The sequence below is a fragment of the Homo sapiens genome, chromosome 16, assembly GCF_000001405.40.
Source record: "Homo sapiens chromosome 16, GRCh38.p14 Primary Assembly".
Classification (NCBI taxonomy): Eukaryota; Metazoa; Chordata; class Mammalia; order Primates; family Hominidae; genus Homo; species Homo sapiens.
In genome coordinates, this window is record NC_000016.10 from 22,170,107 (window position 1) to 22,188,309 (window position 18,203).

Below are 18,203 nucleotides of genomic sequence, written 5' to 3' on the forward strand. Positions count from 1 at the left end.
CACTTTGGGAGGCCGAGGCAGGTGGATCACCTGAGGTCGGGAGTTCGGGGCTAGACTGACCAACACGAAGAGATCCCATCTCTACTAAAACTACAAAATTAGCGGGGCGTGGTGGCGCATGCCTGTAATCCCAGCTACTCGGGAGGCTGAGGCAGGAGAATCGCTTGAACCTGGGAGGGGGAAGTTGTGGTGAGCCGAGATCGCGCCATTGCACTCCAGCCTGGGCAACAAGAGTGAAACTCCGTCTCAATAAATAAATAAATAAATAAATAAACAAACAGATAAATAAAAAGTTACTAAAGCACCAAAATCGCAGACCCATGTGTGGGCTGCCTGGGCATGTCCTGCCTTATCCCGTATGTCTTTGATTCTAGAGTGTCTTTTTCTAAGTCTCCATCCAGTGAGACCTTCTTCTGACCTGTCTCTGGCAAGGTAGCCCAGGGGTCCAAGCCACAATGAGAAAGAATAAGGAGCAGACCTGGCTCCCAGGGGCCCACAGAGCAGGAACTTGACCTGCACCCTAAGTTAAGGGCAGGAGACTCTTCCCTCCTGAACAGCTGTAGATTCTGGGAGGGTCCTGGGGGTCCAAGTTGTGTGTTGAAAACTTGGTAGAGATCTGCATGACACCTCCTCAGCCGACTCTATGCTCACTTGTGTCCCGTGTGTGTCTGTGTCTTTGCATGTGTGTGTGTGTTTATTTGTTGCTATGTGCACCTGCTGCTGCAGTCTGTGTTCGCCGGCGGGTTCCAAGGCTCATCTATACCAGCACTGTCAATGTTGCATTTGGAGGGAAGCCCATAGAGCAGGGCGATGAGGACTCTGTGCCATATTTCCCATTGGACGAGGTACCTGTCTTCCGGGAGAGGTGGGCAGGACCCGCGGGCCCGGGACCCACAGCTCAGAGGGGAGGGATGGGTGGAAGCAGGGTTGGTTTCACAACTCAGGATACGTCCTAGCAGGAAGGGGCTCCCAAAACTGGGTGGCGTCAGCACTCTCCTGTTTCAGTTGGTCACACCTGCAGGGGCATTGAAATCAGACAGGTCTGGCCTTAGCCTCAACCTGGCCGCATTCTACCCATGTGACCCTGACCCTGAGCAAATCACTTAAGCCCTTTGAGCCTGTTTTTTTTTCTTTTCTTTTCTTTTGTTTTTTTGAGACAGAGTCTCACCCTGTCCCCAGGCTGGAGTGCAGTGGCGTGATTTTGGCTCACTGCAACCTCTGCCTCCTGGGTTCAATAGATTCTCCTGCCTCAGCCTCCCAAGTAGCTGGGATTATAGGTGCATGCCACCACAACCAGCCAATTTTTGTATTTTTAGTAGAGACAGGGTTTACCATGTTGGCCAGGATGGTCTCCATCTCTTGACCTCGTGATCTGCCAGCCTCAGCCTCCCAAAGTGCTGGGATTACAGGCGTGTTGTTTGTTTGTTTTGTTTTGTTTTGAGACAAGGTCTTGCTTTGCTCTGTCACTCAGACTGGAGTGCAGTGTCATGATCTCAGCTCACTGCAACCTCTGCCTCCCGGGTTCAAGTGATTCTCCTGCCTCAGCCTCCCCAGTAGCTGGGACTACAGTCGTGCGCCACCACGCCCAGCTAATTTTTGTATTTTTAGTGGATACAGGTTTCATTGAGTTGCCCAGGCTGGTCTCGAACTCCTGGGCTCAATCAATCCTCCCTCCTGCGGCTGTCAAAGTGCTGGAATTACAGGCATGAGCCACTGCACCCGGACAAGCCTCTGTTTCTTCAACCCAGTATGGTAACACTATCACCATGGGGTTGTGCAGAGCAGGAAATAAGATAACCGATGTGAAAATGCCATGTGAACACAAAAGAGCCATGTGTAGGTAATTCATCCAGCATGTGTCCAGCATCAGCCTTGCAAGGACAGGTGTCTGGGGCTGGCAGGAGCCTCCCTGAGTCGGCTGCCCCTGGTCATTGTTACTGCTCCGAACCCAGTGCTCCTCTGCTCCTGTGGCTCTGGAAGGAGATGCACTGTTCTCCCACCCAGGGGGAGAGGAAAGGCCATGGGGCTCAGGGCCTGGCCATATCCCAGTGGGAGTCCCCAGGGAAGGTGCAGCCCTGGGGCTGGGCAGGCATTGCCAGCAGCATTGCTGACCCTCTCTGGTGGTTCTGTTTTTCCTGGCCTCTGGCAGCACGTAGACCACTACTCCCGAACCAAAGCCATCGCCGACCAATTGACCCTCATGGCCAATGGGATGCCTCTCCCAGGTGAGTATCATGGGGCTCTGCTTGTACCAAATGCACCTGCCCACTGCTGCCTCCTCCAAAATACATGTGTGATTCATGCTAACATGTGTCTGAGGCCCACCTTCCTTCCAAAGGACGGTTTCCCAGGGCCTTGCCCATTCATCATTCAGCACATTCTGAGCACCTGCTGTGTGGCTGCACCCCACCAGGGATACAGCCCAGAAGAAGTCAGGCCCAGTGTCTGCCCTTACATAGCTCACAGCTAGGTGGGGAAGAGACTTGAGCAAACCCAAGTCTCTCTCTTTTCTCCTGCACAGGAGTTGATCCAGTTTTAGGGGCCCTCTTTAGACAAAAGAGTACCAAATTATGAGTGTGGAATGAGATATAACACTTTGGAAGGGCCTGGCAAGGGAGAGGCCCAAAAGCTCAAGCTTCAGCAACTTCCCAGTAGAGTCTACCTTGGCTGTCTTAGTTATTTATTTGTTTTAGAGATAGGGTCTTGCTCTGTTGCCCAGGCTGGAGTGCAATGGCACAATCATAGCTTACTGCAGCCTCAAACTCCTGGGCTTAAGTAATCCTCCTGCCTCAGCCTCCCAAGTGGCTGAAACTGCAGGTGTGTGCCACCATTCCAGGCTTATTTTAAATTTTTTTGTAGAGATGGGGTCTCACTATGTCATCCAGGCTGGTCTCAAACTCCTGGCCTCAAGTGATCTTCCTGCCTCGAACTCCCAAATGCTGGGATTACAGGCATGAGCCACCATGCCTGGCCTTGGCTGCCTTTTTATATTGCCTCTTCTGGTTATAGATGAGTAATAGTAGAAGGCAAATAGTCCGTATTTCTTGAGTGCACACTACATGCCAGGCCCTATTTTGCATGCTATTTTTTTCTTTCAAATACAATTATTAATCTCTTATTTTTTTTTCTTTGAGAAGGAGTATTGCTCTGTCACCCAGGCTGCAGTGAAATGGTGTGATTTTGGCTCACTGCAACCTCTGCCTCCTGGGTTCAATAGATTCTCCTGCCTCGGCCTCCCGAATAGCTGGGACTACAGGTGCATGCCACCACACCTGGCTAATTTTTGTATTTTTAGTAGAGATGGGGTTTCACCATGTTGGTCAGGCTAGTCTAGAACTGCTGACCTCAAGCGATCCACCTGCCTTGGCCTCCCAAAGTGCTGGGATTATAGGCATGGGAGTCTGTGAGCCACCACACCTGGCCCCATTCTTTATTCTACTTTTCCCTTTATTTTAATTTTATCTCATTTTTTTATGGATTCTCCTCCCACAGGTTGCTAACTTTATATGCAAAGGTCTGATTAACCCTTCACAGTACCCCTTTTAGGTAAAAACCATAGATATCCCTTGCTTTCTAAGCTTCAGAACCAAATTTATTCAAATAAATTTCGTGCTATCCAAATTATCACTATTTGGGCCGGTACAGTGGCTCACGCCTGTAATCTCAGCACTTTGGGAGGCGGAGGTGGGTGGATGGCTTGAGTTTAGGAGTTCGAGACCAGCCTGGAGAACATGGCAAAACCATGTCTGTACAAAATATATATATATGTATATGGGCTACGTATATATATGTGTGTGTGTATATATATATATATATATATATAGCTTTCTAAAATTCAGAACGTAAAAAGAATCAGATAACTTGGTTTCCCTTCACTATCAAAACTATCTAAACTTGAGAGCCAGGTGGATTTGGAGAGTCGGAGGCTTAAAAATTATAATCCTCACTGGGTGCGGTGGCTCACACTTGTAATCCCAGCACTTTGGGAGGCTGAGGCGGGCGGATCACAAGGTCAGGAGTTCAAGACCAGCCTAGCCAATATGGTGAAACCCCGTCTCTACTAAAAATACAAAAAAATTAGCTGGGCATGGCAATGCGTCCCTGTAATCCCAGCTACTCAGGAGGCTGAGGCAGGAGAATCCCTTGAACCCAGGGAGCAGAGGTTGCAGTGAGCCGAGATTGTGCCACTACACTCCAGCCTGGGAGACAGAGCGAGACTCCATCTCAATAATAATAATAATAATCCTCAATGTACAGGTGAGAAAACAGACAGATGAACTGACCTCACTCAAGATCATCCAGCTGTTAGGTGGTAGAGGTGGGATTTGAACCCCAGGAGAGTTTAACACCAGAGCCTGGGGCCTAATCACTGTGCAGTGCTGCAGCCCCAGCTGAGCAGGTCCCTGAGCATCAACTCTTTTCCCTAAAATCTTCCCCACCCCCAGCCCCCACCCTACTCCCCATCACCCTGGGCCAGTTAGGCCTGGACCCCTGATTCCAGTAGAAATATCCAGCTGTTCTCCCAGGAGTTTCAACCTTGTGCAGTTGAATAATATTTTCTCTACCTGGGGCCTCTGCCAGCCAGCCCAGTAGCCTGTACTCTAGACACCTAATCCTCCAGCCAAGAATTATTTATATGAGCATCTGCAGCTTTCCATGGTCAGGAGAGTCATGGATACCCTGGCCCTCCGTGAAGTAGCTGTTCAATGCCCCGCCTGCCAACGTCAGCTGCAACCCGACCTCCCCCCACTATGCCCAGGTGACCCAGAGTTTAAAATTAGCTGCAAGCTGTTTACAGGAAATCTCACCCAATATCTGCCTTCCAGGAGTCCCGCTGCAGTCACCTGGGGTCATTTCCACTCCCTACTATCCAAGCGGGTTCCTGAAACTGTTCTTCTGACTCGGCGCAGAGGTCCGTAGTCCTGGGAGCAGAGTCCTGAGGCGTGCAGATCCTAGCTCAGTGTTAATGCAGTTATGTCCTCCCGTCTTCTGTCTCTGGGTGTGTTAGTATCCTGTGGCAGCTGTGACAAATGATGCCACCCAAACTTGATGGCTTAAAACAATAGAAATGGGCCGGGCATGGTGGCTGACACCTGTAATCCCAGCACTTTGTGAGGCCAAGACGGGAGGACTGCTTGAGCTCAGGAGTTCAAGACCAGCCCGGGCAACATGGCAAAACTCCATCTCTACAAAAAAATACAAAAATGACCTGGTGTGGTGGTGCACACCTGTACTCCCAGCTACTCGGGAGGCAGAGGTGGGAGGATCACCTGAGCCCAGGGAGGTCAAGATGGCAGTAAGCTGTGACCCTCTCTCAAAAACAAATGAACAAAAGACAATCGTTTCTTCTCTCACCATCCTGGAGGCCAGAGTCTGAAATCAAGGTGTCTGCTGGGCTGTACTCCCAGAGGCTCAAGTAGGCTACACTCCTTCCTTTTTTTTTTTTTTTTTTAGTCTCCCAACCACTTGGGAGACTAAGGTAGGATGATTGCTTGAGCCTGGGAGGTTGAGGATGCAGTGAGCCATGACGCACCACTGCATTTCAGCCTGGGTGACAGAGTGAGACCCTGTCTCTAAAAATAATTAATTAAATAAGTCATTTTAGGCTGGGCACAGTGGCTTACGCCTGTAATCCCAGCACTTTGGGAGGCTGAGGTGGGTGGATCACCTGAGGTCAGGCATTCAAGACCAGCCTGGCCAACATAGCGAAGCCCCTCCTCTACTAAAAATACAAAAATTAGTGGGGCGTGGTGGCAGGTGCCTGTAATCCCAGCTACTCGGGAGGCTGAGGCAGGCGAATCACTTGAACCTGACAGGTAGAGGTTGCAGTGAGCCGAGATCGTGCCATTGCACTCCAGCCTGCGCGACAGAGCAAGACTCTATTAAAAAAAAAAAAAAGTCATTTTAAATATTTTCTAAAACTCTTTTTTAAAAATAGTTATAGTGTTCTATAGCACTATATAGTGACTATAATTAACAACTATTTATTGTGTATTTTCAAATAGCTAGAAGAGTGGATTTTTTTTCTTTGGGACAGGGTCTCGCTCTGTCGCCCAGGCTGAAGTGTAGTGGCGCTATCATGGCTCACTGCAGCCTCAAAGTCTTGGATTCAAGTGATTCCCCCACCCCAGCCTCCAAGAACATTGGGCCTGTAGGTGCACACCATGGTGCCTGGCTAATTTTTTTTTTCTTTGTCAGAGATGGGGGTCTCGTTTTATTGCCCAGGCAGTAGATGTGAATGTTCCCAAGACAAAGAAATGTATTAATAGATATGCTCATTACCCTGATTTGATCATTACACACTGTATGCATGTAGGTAAAAACCTTAGGTATCCCTTACGCTCTAAACTTCAGAGCCAAAACATCACACCTTACCCCACAAATATGTACAATTATTATATGGCAATAAAAATAAAAGAAAAATTTTTTAAATCTTAAACATGAATTATGAGGATAAACTGAATACTTTGTAGGTGTTATTTTATTTTATTTTTTAATAAATAGTAGAGACTCACTATGTTGCCCAGGCTGGTCTCGAACTCCTGGGCTCAAGCAATCCTCCTGCCTTGGCCTCCCAAAGTGCTGGGATTACAGGCGTGAGCCACTGCTCCCAGCTAGTAGTAGGTGTTCTTAAGACAAGACTGACATATGTCTGTGGCAGCCCTTCAGACTGTAACCCCAGACCGCCCCAGGAGATACATGTTCACCTGCTTCTGCCATTTGGGTCCCTCCAGTGGAGAATTTGGGAAGCCCTAGATTGAGCTCTGTCAGGGTCTGGGGAACTCCGCTGAGATAGAGCAGTGAAAGGGGTACAGACCCCGGCTCTTTCCTTTCTCCATTGATTGGAAAGTGTAGCAGCTGCTGCCACTTCCAAAGCACCCATTTTCCATGTGAGGAAACCAAGGCTGAGCTGGCTAAAAGACAGGGTTCACTGTTTGCCTTACTGCTGAGAAGCGGAGGTATTAGTGGAAACGGTGTGGACTTCAGGTCCCCATCTCAGCTCCACTGCGCTGATCTGTGTGACTGGAAGCAAATCACATCCCTTCTCTGAGCTGTGGTTCTTTTATCCATAGGCAGGGATTATAACATCTCCAACCTTGGCGTATCAGAGCACCAGGAACATAGAAGGACCTCTCTGAGAGTCCTTGTCTCTTAGATATCTATTATATAGTCCTTATCTATACATAAGGACCTCTCCTGGTCCTTATCCAACTGCTGATTAGAAAAAGGGAGAACAAGGCCGGGCGCGGTGGCTCATGCCTGTAATACTAGCACTTCAGGAGGCCAAGGCGGGTGGATCACCTGGGGTCAGGAGTTCAAGACCAGCCTGGCCAACATGGTGAAACCCCGTCTCTACTAAAAAATACAAAAATTAGCTGGGCATGGTTGTGGGCACCTGTAATCCCAGCTACTTGGGAGGCTAAGGCAGGAAAATTGCTTGAACCCGGGAGATGGAGGTTGCAGTGAGCCAAGATTGCGCCACTGCATTGCAGCCTGGGCGGCAGAGCAAGATTCCATCTCAAAAAAAAAGAAATAAAGAAAGAAAAAGAAAAAGGAAAAGGAAAAGGAAAAAGAGAGACCAAGAGCTATGGGCATGAGGGCATGTGCATCTATGTGCATCTGTAAAATGGGCACAGTAGTACTCTCAAGGGGCATCAAAGAAAATCACTCTGCCGAGTGCTTGGTAAACAGACCGGCCGTGCAGATGTTTGCATCTGGCTCTTACCTTTGTGACTGCACTGTGAGCAATGGGAGGGCAGGGACCATTTATTGGTCATCCTTACATTCTTCACAGGATCCATCCAGGGTGGGGGGCAGGGGGATTGGAGGTGGGAGTGAGACTCTGAATAGTGTCTGTTGAATGACTGACTAAGAGAATAATAAATTGAACGAGGAAGCCCCTGGGCCGGTCTTCCCCTCTAGCCTGTCCAGGTAAGCACCAACAGATGGAGGTGGCCTCTCTCTCCCTCTCCCTGTGGGCTGCTCCTCCCCTGACCCCTGACCACGCTTCCCTGTGTGCTAGGAGGAGGCACTCTTCGGACGTGTGTGCTCCGGCCTCCAGGGATCTACGGCCCTGAAGAGCAGAGGCACCTGCCCCGTGTGGCGGTACGTCATCCCCGCCTTCAGGACCCAAGTCAGAGAAGGATCCTGGCTGAGGTGTACACTGGTCGGGCCCTCCCAGCCCCTGGTCGCTGCATCAGTCTCGAGGCTAAGTGTCCTGAGCCTGGAACCCTCAGTTCTACAAGATGTTCCTGCCCCCACTGGTCCACAGGCCCCTTGGAGCTCCTGGCAGGAACAGAGCTCTCAGAGTGTACCAGCCAAGCCAAGGCACGGGTAGAGGAGCCATAGAGCTGTGACCCCAAAAAGGCAGAAGAGAGCCTGTTGCCCTCACTCCCATGTGGGCTCCCTGAAGCCTGGATGGTTTATTCCATGCTGAGAGCACAAGTGTCTTCATACAGAAAGCCTCTAAAGGGTCGGGTGCCAGAAATACAGCTACAAGGGGCTATAGGCCCTGTCCTCGAATTTCTCAGGGAGACAGACACCACAGTCACAGCTTCAATGTGGGGAGGGCTGTGGAGAGAGGAGCACAAGAAGATGGGCCTGGCAGGGGAAACCCAGGAGGGCTCCCTGGAGGAAGTGATGTCTGTGTTGTTTGAAAAAAGAAAAAGGAATTAACCAAGGAAATGAAGTGGTAGAGAGAAGATAGGCCAAACAGAGGGGACAGCTTGGGCACAAACCTGGAAGTGAGAAAGGTCATGATTGTTTTAGGAAGCAGCAAGAGGTCCCTGTGGCTGGATCTGATCTGGGAGTACGGGATTATGAGGAGCTAGAGTTATTGGCGGGGAGAAGTTCCAGTCTGCAGTTTCAGAACATTCCTCTGCTTGGCTATATGTCTTTTTGTTTATAGTCAGGGTCTCACTGTATCACCCAGGCAAGAGTGCAATGGTGTGATCATGGCTCACTGCAGCCTCCACCTCCTGGACTCAAGCGATCCTCCTGCCTTCTGAGTAGGTGTGACTATAAGTGTGCACAACCATGCCTGATTGACTATTTTTATTTTTTGTAGAGATAGGGTCTCCTTATGTTGCCCAAGCTGATCTCAAATTCCTGGCCTCAACCAATCCTCCTGCCTCAACCTCCCAAGTTGCTGGGATGACAGGCGTGAACTACTGGACCCAGCAATCATTTTTTTTCTTTTGAGTTAACTGGGTTCTTAAGGAATGTGGTCAACCCCAGTGACTCTCTCCCCATTCATTTATTCATTCATTCAACGAATACTTACGAACTCCTAGTATGTGCCCCGCACTGTTCTAGGTTTGAGGACAGATCAGTGAACAAAACAGATGATTCCTGTCCTTGTGGCGTTTATCTTCTCATATGAAGAGACAGATAATGAACATGTTAAATTATAAGGTATGTTCAGGCCAAGTGCGGTGGCTCATGCCTGTAATCCCAGCACTTTGGGAGGCCGACAGGGATGGATCAATTGAGGTCAGGAGTTCGAGACCAGCCTGGCCAGCATGGTGAAACCCTGTCTCTACTAAAAATACAAAAAATTAGCCAGACGTGGTGGTGGGCACCTGTAATCCCAGATACGCAGGAGGCTGAGGCAGGAGAATCGCTTGAACCTGGGATGGGGAGGTTGCAGTGAGCCGAGATTGTGCCATTGCACTCCAGCCTGGGCAACAAAAGCGAAACTTCATCTCAAAAAAAAAAAAAAAAAGAAGATTCCAGGCACTGTGGAGAAAAGGAAAAAGCGAGGTAGGGTGAGGGAATTGGGCTTGTCAGGTAGTCACGGGGGGGCTCATTTAGAAAGGGACATTTGAGCATCCACTTGACAGAGGTGACAAAGTCTGAAAGGCTCTTCCTCCAAATACCTTCCAGACAGTGGGAACAGCTCATCCAAAGCCCTGAGATGGGAACCTGCAGCAGTGTCCAGGAAGAGCAAAGGGGCGGTGCAGCTGTGGTGGAGCGAGTGAGGGGGTTTGGTAGGAGATGAAGTCACAGAGGAGCTGGGGCCAGATCAGGAAGGGTTTGACAGCCATTGTCAGGACTTCAGCTTCCAGCCTAGCAGGATGGGAGCCCCTGGAAGGTTCTGAGCCGTGGAACAACATGGTTGTACTTAGAATTTTTAAAGGTCCTCCTGGCTGGGCATGGGAGCACATGCCTATAATCTCAGCATTTTGGGAGGCTGAGATGGGAAGATCCCTTGAGCCCAGGATTTCAAGGCAGCAGTGAGCTATGATTGCACCACTGCACTCCAGCCTGGGTGACACAGGGAGACTCTATCTCTAAAAATAAAAGGATCCCTGGCTGAGCACGCTGGCTCATGTCTGTAATCCCAGCACTTTGGGAAGCCGAGGAGGGAAGATTGGTTGAGCCCAGGAGTTCAAGGCCAGCCTGGGCAACATAGTGAGATCCCCATTTCTACAAAAAAATTTAAAAAGTATCCAGGTGTGGTGGTATTCATCTATAGTCCCAGCTACTCGGGAGGCCAAGGCAGGAGGATCGCTTGAGCCCGGGAGTTCAAGGCTGCAGTGATTGCACCACTGAACTCTAGTGTGGGCAACAGAGCCCGACCCTGTCTCTAAAAAACTATGAAAGAATCAAAGGATCTGGCCCGGCATGGTGGCTCACACCTATAATCCCAGCACTTTGGGAGGCCGAGATGGGTGGATCACCTGAGGTCAGGAGTTTGAGACCAGCCTGGCCAACATGGTGAAACCCTGTCTCTACTAAAAATACAAAAATTAGCTGAGCATGGTGGTTTGTGCCTGTAATTCTAGCTCCTCAGGAGGCTGAGGCAGGAGAATTGCATGAACCCAGGGGATGGAGTTTGCAGTGACCAAGATCTTGCCACTGCACTCCAATCTGGATAACAGAGCAAGAATCTGTCTCAAAAAAAAGAAACAATCAAAGGATCTGCCTGGCTGGGCAGAGAACAGACTACAGGGGCTGAGGGTGGACAGAGGGGGACCAGTTAGGAAGCAACTGTGGCGTCCAGGTGAGAGGAGGGTGGCTGTCAGAGTAGCGAGAAGCTATCAGATTCTGGACAGATTTTAACAGTTGAACCAATTGGATTTGCAGGTGGGTTGGACATGGCGTTTAAGACAAGGGGGAGTCAAAGGTGGCTTTAGGGTTTTAACCTGAGTGGTAGAGTGAACTGACTGGTCCACTGGGAAGGGAGGGAGGAGCGGGGTGGGAGAGACGATCAGATGCTCGCTCCAGGAGCTGGTGAGTTTGAGTTTTCTGTTAGACAACCCGTTGCTGATATTCAGAGAGCATTGGATACATGAGCCTGGAGCAGAGGGGCCTGACCTGGAGCTAGAACCTGGGGAGTCATCAGCATCTAGACGGAATGTAAAGCCACACCGGACACAAGCCTGTTTATCACCCACTCCTCTCCACCAGGGCCACATCAAGAAGAGGCTGTTCATGTTCCGATTTGGGGACCACAAGGCACGGATGAACTGGGTCCACGTACACAATCTGGTGCAGGCACACGTGCTGGCGGCCGAGGCCCTCACCACGGCCAAGGGCTACGTGGCTGTGAGTCCCCTCTGATGCCCCCAACCACCTTCCCCACAGGGCTGCAGGCAGAGCGTCCCATCCCTAGGGGATTTCTGGATGGCACACAAGATTTCCCTCCAACTTAAGAAGGCTGGTGGGACTCTCAGCCCAGGGGAGCTTGGGGGAAGCAGGTAGGTGGGGTGTGGAGTTCTTTATAGAGCATCTTTAGCTCTTCTCTATGGCCATGTGAGGTTGGCGTTGTTGATCCCAGAATAACAGCTGCCAGATGCTAAGCCTCCACACATATTGTCGCATTTAATCTTCACAGTAGTCCAAGAAGGAGATCCCATTATTATCCTCCCATTTCTCAGATGAAGAAACTGAAGTACAGAGAGGTTAAGCAACTCCATGGAGGTCACACAGCTAGTCAGTGTGGTCGTCCTGGAATTCACAGGGAATAGTTCACGTGTGTCCTCAGGTATTGGAGCTGCTCCAGAGAACTCAGGGTTGGAGCAGCTGCTGGGAGCCATCTGGAAGGGTGGGGCAGGCTGCTGGGGAGAAGGCTGACCGTCCCCTCCCACATGTCCCCTTCAGAGTGGGCAGGCGTACTACATCAACGATGGGGAGAGCGTCAACCTCTTTGAGTGGATGGCCCCACTGGTAGGTGCACAGATGCCCACCCACCCCGAATGATCATTCTGGGATCCCTGACCTTCTCTTCCTTTTTATTTTTTTTTTTAATTTTTTGAGACAGAGTTTTGCTCTTGTCACCCAGGCTGGAGTCCAGTGGTACAATCTCAGCTCACTGCAACCTCCCCTCCCAGGTTCAAGCAATTCTCATGCCTCAGCCTCCCGAGTAGCTGGGATTACAGGCACACGCCACCACGCCCAGTTAATTTTTTGTATTTTTAGTAGAGATGGGGTTTCACCATGTTTGCCAGGCTGGTCTCAAACCCCTGACCTCAAGTGATCCACCCACCTCGACCTCCCAGAGTGCTGGGATTACAGGCATGAGCCACTGTGCTCGGCCTGCGGCCTTCTCTTCTTGTCCTTTTCGATTTCCAAAAAGCCAGAAGATTTCACGTCAAAAACCAACTCTTTGCCCAGTGAGGTGGCTCACATCTGTAAGCCCAGCACTTTGGGAGGCTAACACGGGAGGATCGCTTGAGGCCAGGAGTTTGAGACCAACCTGGGCAACAAAGCGAGGACCCCTGTCTCTGCAAAAATAAAAATTCAACTAGGCAGGCATGGTGTTGGCACACCTGTGGTCCCAGCTACTTGGGCAGCTGAGGCGGGAGGATCTCTTGAGCCCAGGAGTTCAAGGCTGCAGTGAGCTATGATTGCACCACTGCACTCCAGCCTGGGTAACAGAATAAGACCCTATCTCTAAAAATCAATTTTTTTAAAAAAACACCTCTGGCAACATTGGAACTGGCTGGAGCCCTTGAGGGGCGCCATGTGTTCCTCAGTTACCTGCAGTTCCCTTCCACCCTGCTTCCAGGCGTTTGTTTTGTTTCATTTTTTTGAGACAGTCTCACTCTGTCACCCAGGCTGGAGTGCAGTGGTGCGATCTCAGCTCACTGCAACCTCTGCCTCCTGGGTTCAAGCGATTCTCCTGCCGCAGCCTCCTGATAGCTGAGATTACAGGTGCACACCACCCTGCTCGGCTAATTTTTTGTATTTGGCTAATTTTCGTATTTTTAGTAGAGACAGGGTTTCACCATGTTGGCCAGGCTGATCTCGATGCTTCCAGATTTATGTTGGCTTCTAGCCCTGTGGAGTTTTGCTTGTGAGCCACCCATTATGTGTTGAGGCTCGGAAGGAGGCATGTGGAAGAGACAAAAGCGCAAGGGAGGTGTTTGGCTTTGGGGCCTCCCCACACGGCAGCCCGGGAACTCTGGTGTCCTCTCTGAGCAGCCCAGACTCCTAGCAGCCAGGCTTGCCTGGAAGGGGTAGACCAGAAAACCCAGGCTAAAGGACACAGGTTTCCTCTTGACCTGGAAAGTTTTTATGCCAGTGAAGAGTTCACCTTATCCCATGCCAGCCCATTTCTGCTGCATATCCTACCACCCTCCACAGAAAAGTCAATTCTGGAAAAATCAGATTCTACATAAATGCCTTAGAGTGTCTCTAGGTATAGACAGATGTAGGTGATAATTAAATGATGTGAATGATCCCAAGTTAAAAAGCTACCTGGCGGGTGTAATGGCTTATGCCTGTAATCCCAGCACTTTTGGGAGGCTGAGGCAGGAGGATCACATGAGGCCAGGAGTTCAAGACCAGCCTGAGCAACACATCAAGACCCCTGATTCTCTGCAAAAAAAAAAAAAAAAAATTTTAACTAACCCATGCTTTCAATTCCTCCTTGGGTTTTCTGGGTCAAGGTGCGGATTTCATTTCAATACTGGCACAGGCCTGGGGTTGGCTGCAGGGTCTGCCCCCTGGGGTGGGTTGGTGGGGAGACAGGAGGTACCTCTGCTGGTCCCCGGTAGAGGGAGCATGTGGTCTTTCCACACCAGCCCCTGAACCACTTGTTCTCACTCCAGGTCGTGTTTCTTTGCAGTTTGAGAAGCTGGGGTACAGCCAGCCCTGGATCCAGGTGCCTACTTCCTGGGTTTACCTGACAGGTAAGGAAAGGAGTGTGCGTAGTAAAGCCCTCCATGTGCCAGGTGTACCTTGCATTGCCTTAATTGAAACTCAGGGGCCAGGCACGGTGGCTCACGCCTGTAATCCTAGCACTTTGGGAGGCTGAGGCAGGCAGATCACCTGAGATCAGCAGTTCCAGACCAGTCTGGCCAACACAGTGAAACCCCATCTCTACTAAAAATACAAAAATCAGCCGGGTGTGGTGGCGCACGCCTGTATTCCCAGCTCCCTGGGAGGCTGAGGCAGGAGAATTGCTGTAACCCAGGAGGCAGAGGTTGCAGTGAGCCGAGATCCCGCCACTGCACTCCAGACTGGGTGACAGAGTGAGACTCTGTCTCAAAAGAAAAACAAGAAAAGAAAAAGAAACTCAGGCAGGACCAGGACTAGGGTGAGGACAGTGAGGCACTGTGGTCACAAAATTTAAGGAGGCCACGCAGCAGCTCCAAGCCTGAGTTTGCACTTGTCTGGTGCCGGAAGCAAGTGCCTCCTTAAATTCCACACCCTAGGTGTCTCACTTCCCTCACCCTAGTCCCACCTGCAAGGCAGCTATGATGGGCCCATTGTAAAGATGAGGTGACCCGAGGCTCTGAGAGGTTAGTGACTTTCTCAAAGTGCCACAGTGAGAATGCGGGAGAGGCGGAGAGGCGGAATTCACAACTGGGCTTGGTGGGCTCTTTGTGGTGCTGCTGGGAGGTCTCATGCCAGTCAGGAGGAGAGAGAACCCTGGGGCTGTTCTGTCCCCCAAGGTCACCCTGAAGTTAGGGCTACTTTAGGACAAACGGAGGCTCCATTTTGATCCTAGATTCTCCTCCTGTCCCTGAAGGTCAGTCTCTGCTCCCACCTCCACCCCCGACAATGCGTCTTGGCTGCTCCCCTTCCCTCTGTCCCCAGCACCCATACAATGGCCTCCTCCCAGCTGGAAGGCAGAGCAGCCTTCAGACATGGAGTGACCAGCCTGAGGGGATGGTGGCCCTCCAGTCCCAAATAGCTGTGTTCCAGGGACTCCTTGGCAGGATCTCTTGTGTTTTAAATGCATCGAGTGGCTTGCCATTAAAAGCAGGGGGTTGCAAATTTTTGTTCACCAGGGAACACATGCAGGGCAACTTCTCATGCACAGCATTGCCGCAGTGATTGGTACTCCCGGCCCTGAGCCACGGCCGATGGCACTTGGAGAGGATTGTAAAGGCGTTCCCAGTTCCCAGTGGGCTAACAGTAATTCAGTGCTTCTCAACCAGGGCTGCACTGCACAGTCACCTGGGAGCTTTTAAAATAGAGAAATGTCTCAGCCACACTACCGACCAATTAAATTGGGATTAGCAGGGAGGAAGTGGGAGGAAAGCATCAGTATTTTTTATTTTTTTAGAGTTAGGGTCTTGCACTGCCACCCAGGCTGGAGTGCAGTGGCATGATCATAACTCACTGCAGACTCAACCTCCTGGGCTCAAGCAATTCTCTGCCTCAGCCTCTCAAGCCTCTAGGACTACAGGCTCCTACCACCAGGCCCAGCTAATTTTTATACTTTAGTAGAGATGGGGGTCTTGCTATGTTACCCCAGCTGGTATCGAACTCCTGGCCTGAAGCGATCCTCCCACTTCAGCCTCCAGAGTAGTGGAGGTAACAGGCATGCACCTCCATGCCTGGCTATTTTCAAAAATTTTTTAGAGATGAGGGCGTCTCACTTTGTTGTCTAGGCTGGTCTTGAACTCCTGGCTCCAAGAGATCCTCCCTCCTCAGTCTCTTATGCTGGGATTACAGGCATGAGCCACCACACCTGGTTCTCACAAGTATTATTTTTAAATTGGTCCCACATGCAGCCCAGTTTGAGAACTGTTACTCCAACCTCTTTCTCTCCTACTCCAGAGAGCATTGGAGTAGAAGTGAGAGAGAGATTATTATATGGATAACTTTGAATCTGTTCAGATTTATTTAAAAACTTCAGTCGTTCAATTTTTTTTTTTTTTCTGACGGAGTCTTATTATGTTGCCCAGCCTGGAGTGCAGTGGTGCAATCTCAGCTCACTGCAATCTCTGCGTCCTGGGTACAAGCGATTCTCCTGCCTCAGCCTCCCCAGTAGCTGGGATTACAGGCATGTGCCACCACGCCCGGCTAATTTTTGTATTTGTAGTAGAGACAGGGTTTCACCATGTTGACCAGCCTGGTCTCGAACTCCTGATCTCAGGCAATCCGCCCGCCTCAGCCTCCCAAAGTGCTGGGATTACAGGCTTGAGCCACTGCACCCAGCCTGGTCATTTAATATTAAAAACAAGTTACTTGTGACATATTTCACAGCTAAACAAGGCACCCCAGCAAGGGCTGCTGATTTAAAGGAATCCAGTGACTTCTGCAAAGTGACCTCTAGCAAAGCAAATGGTGTCCCCCATTGATTTGTCCCCAAGGGCCTCCCTGGAGTTTGCATAATGTGAGGCCCCTGGTCACTGGCCCCCTCCTTCCCTGCAGCAGCAGTTATGGAGCGCCTCCATCTGGCCCTGAGACCCATCTGCAGCCTCCCACCGCTGCTCACTCGTAGTGAGGTAAGTGGGCTGCTGTTATGGGACCTAGGCCCTGCTCCCCATCCCTCCCTTCCTACCTCTCCCCACCATCCCCACTGCTGCCACTCCTTACCCCTTTGACACCATGATGACACATGCTTGTCTGAAGTCTCAGAACTTTCCATGTGGGCCCAAAGCTGGTGCTAGCTCTGTTATGATCACCCCAACCTCTGGGCTTTTGCTGAGGCTGTGCTTTCTGGGTCTGAAATGTGACAGCTCCAAGCCTATCCATCATCACTGTTTCTTCATTCATAAGCATCTTGTCTTTCCAGCCAGACTGGAGGTTCCCAAAGGCAAGTTTCAGGCCATTCACTTCTTTGAATGCTACCAATCCCACCAACTCTCAACACATACATACACACACACAACAGCCTGGTGGTCCTAGGCTCATAGTTCATGCTTACTGAATAATGAGTATATATTAAGTACCTACTACATACAGAATATAATTATTTTTATGAGACAGGGTCTCACTATATTGTCCAGGCTGGTTTCAAACTCCTGAGCTCAAGAGATCCTCTTGGCCAGGTGTGGTGGCTCGCACCTATAATCCCAGTGCTTTGGGAGGCTGAGACAGGAGGATCACTTGAGGCCAGGAGTTTGAGACCAGCCTGGGCAACATAGCAAGACCTCATCTCTACAAAAAATTTTAAAATTAGCCAGGCAAGGTGGTGCATGCCTTTAGTCCCAGCTCAGGTGGGGGATTACTTGAGCCCAGGAGTTCAAGGCTGCAGATTGCACCACTGTACTCCAGCCTAGGCAACAGATGGAGATCCTGCCCCTAAAAACCAAAAAAAAAAAAAAAGATTCTCCCCCCTCAGCCTTCTAAATAGCTGAGATTACAGGCATGCACCACCATGCCTGGCTCAGAATACTATTCTCATAATAATGATGATGCAGGTTTATATTTGCTTAGTTAAAAGAGAGGATGTTTTCATCACAGATTGTAAATAGCAAAGTAATCGGTGGTATTTGAGGTTATTTGCAAAAATCCTTCCAGTCCAGTCGGGCACGGTGGCTCACACTTGTTCCCAGCACTTTGGGAGGCTGAGGCGGGTGGATAACCTGAGGTCAGGAGTTTGAGACCAGCCTGGCCAACGCAGTGAAATCCTGTCTCTACTAAAAATACAAAAATTAGCTGGGTGTGGTGGCACATACCTGTAGTCCCAGCTACTCGGGATGCTGAGGCAGAAGAGTCGCTTGAACCTGGAAGGTGGAGGTTGCAGTGTGCTGAGACCACACCATTGTACTCCAGCCTGGGTGACAGCACAAGACTCCATCTAAAAAAAAAAAAAAAATTACTTCCAGTCCACTCTCGTTTTATTGTCTCTGATGCCCTGCTAAGTTAAAAAGGTCAAAAAAAAATCGTGATCTCCATTTTATGATGAAAAATTGAGCACTAGGAAAATTATTTGTCCAAGGCCACACCATACTGGAATTGGCTTCAGACTCCATGTTCAGTGCTCTTTAACAAGGGGAGTCAGAGGGGGAGAGTGG

The 18,203-nt window shown here is 50.1% G+C and overlaps 1 protein-coding gene and 1 long non-coding RNA gene across 8 annotated transcripts in view, besides 1 other annotated feature; one reads left to right on the forward strand and one right to left on the reverse strand.

Moving 5' to 3' along the window:
- Positions 1 to 18,203, forward strand: part of SDR42E2 (short chain dehydrogenase/reductase family 42E, member 2) — a 29,246-nt gene that overhangs the window by 7,601 nt on the left and 3,442 nt on the right. For 4 of the 7 annotated variants that reach the window (NM_001394319.2, NM_001365288.2, XM_017023977.2 and 1 more), the window contains 7 exons: positions 727 to 845; positions 2,150 to 2,225; positions 8,024 to 8,106; positions 11,413 to 11,550; positions 12,106 to 12,171; positions 14,075 to 14,138; positions 16,615 to 16,688. In NM_001394319.2, the coding sequence (NP_001381248.1) occupies positions 727 to 845; positions 2,150 to 2,225; positions 8,024 to 8,106; positions 11,413 to 11,550; positions 12,106 to 12,171; positions 14,075 to 14,138; positions 16,615 to 16,688 (620 nt within the window). Of the gene's footprint in view, positions 1 to 726; positions 846 to 2,149; positions 2,226 to 8,023; positions 8,107 to 11,412; positions 11,551 to 11,839; positions 11,924 to 12,105; positions 12,172 to 14,057; positions 14,139 to 16,614; positions 16,690 to 18,203 lie in introns of those variants that run through there. The other 3 variants (XM_017023980.3, XM_017023981.3, XM_017023982.3) reach the window with 3 other exon arrangements.
- LOC124903666 (uncharacterized) lies at positions 11,802 to 17,906 on the reverse strand. The gene is made up of 2 exons (XR_007065028.1): positions 17,865 to 17,906; positions 11,802 to 12,041 (listed from the first exon to the last, which is right to left on the reverse strand). It is a non-coding gene; the product is annotated as an uncharacterized LOC124903666 (long non-coding RNA).
- Positions 15,124 to 15,623: an enhancer, noted in NCBI's record as "H3K27ac hESC enhancer chr16:22196551-22197050 (GRCh37/hg19 assembly coordinates)". NCBI's record gives its function as "activates a minimal SCP1, AML or CMV promoter by ChIP-STARR-seq in naive H9 embryonic stem cells {active_cell/tissue: H9 hESC(naive)}" and the evidence as "EXISTENCE:reporter gene assay evidence [ECO:0000049][PMID:30033119]".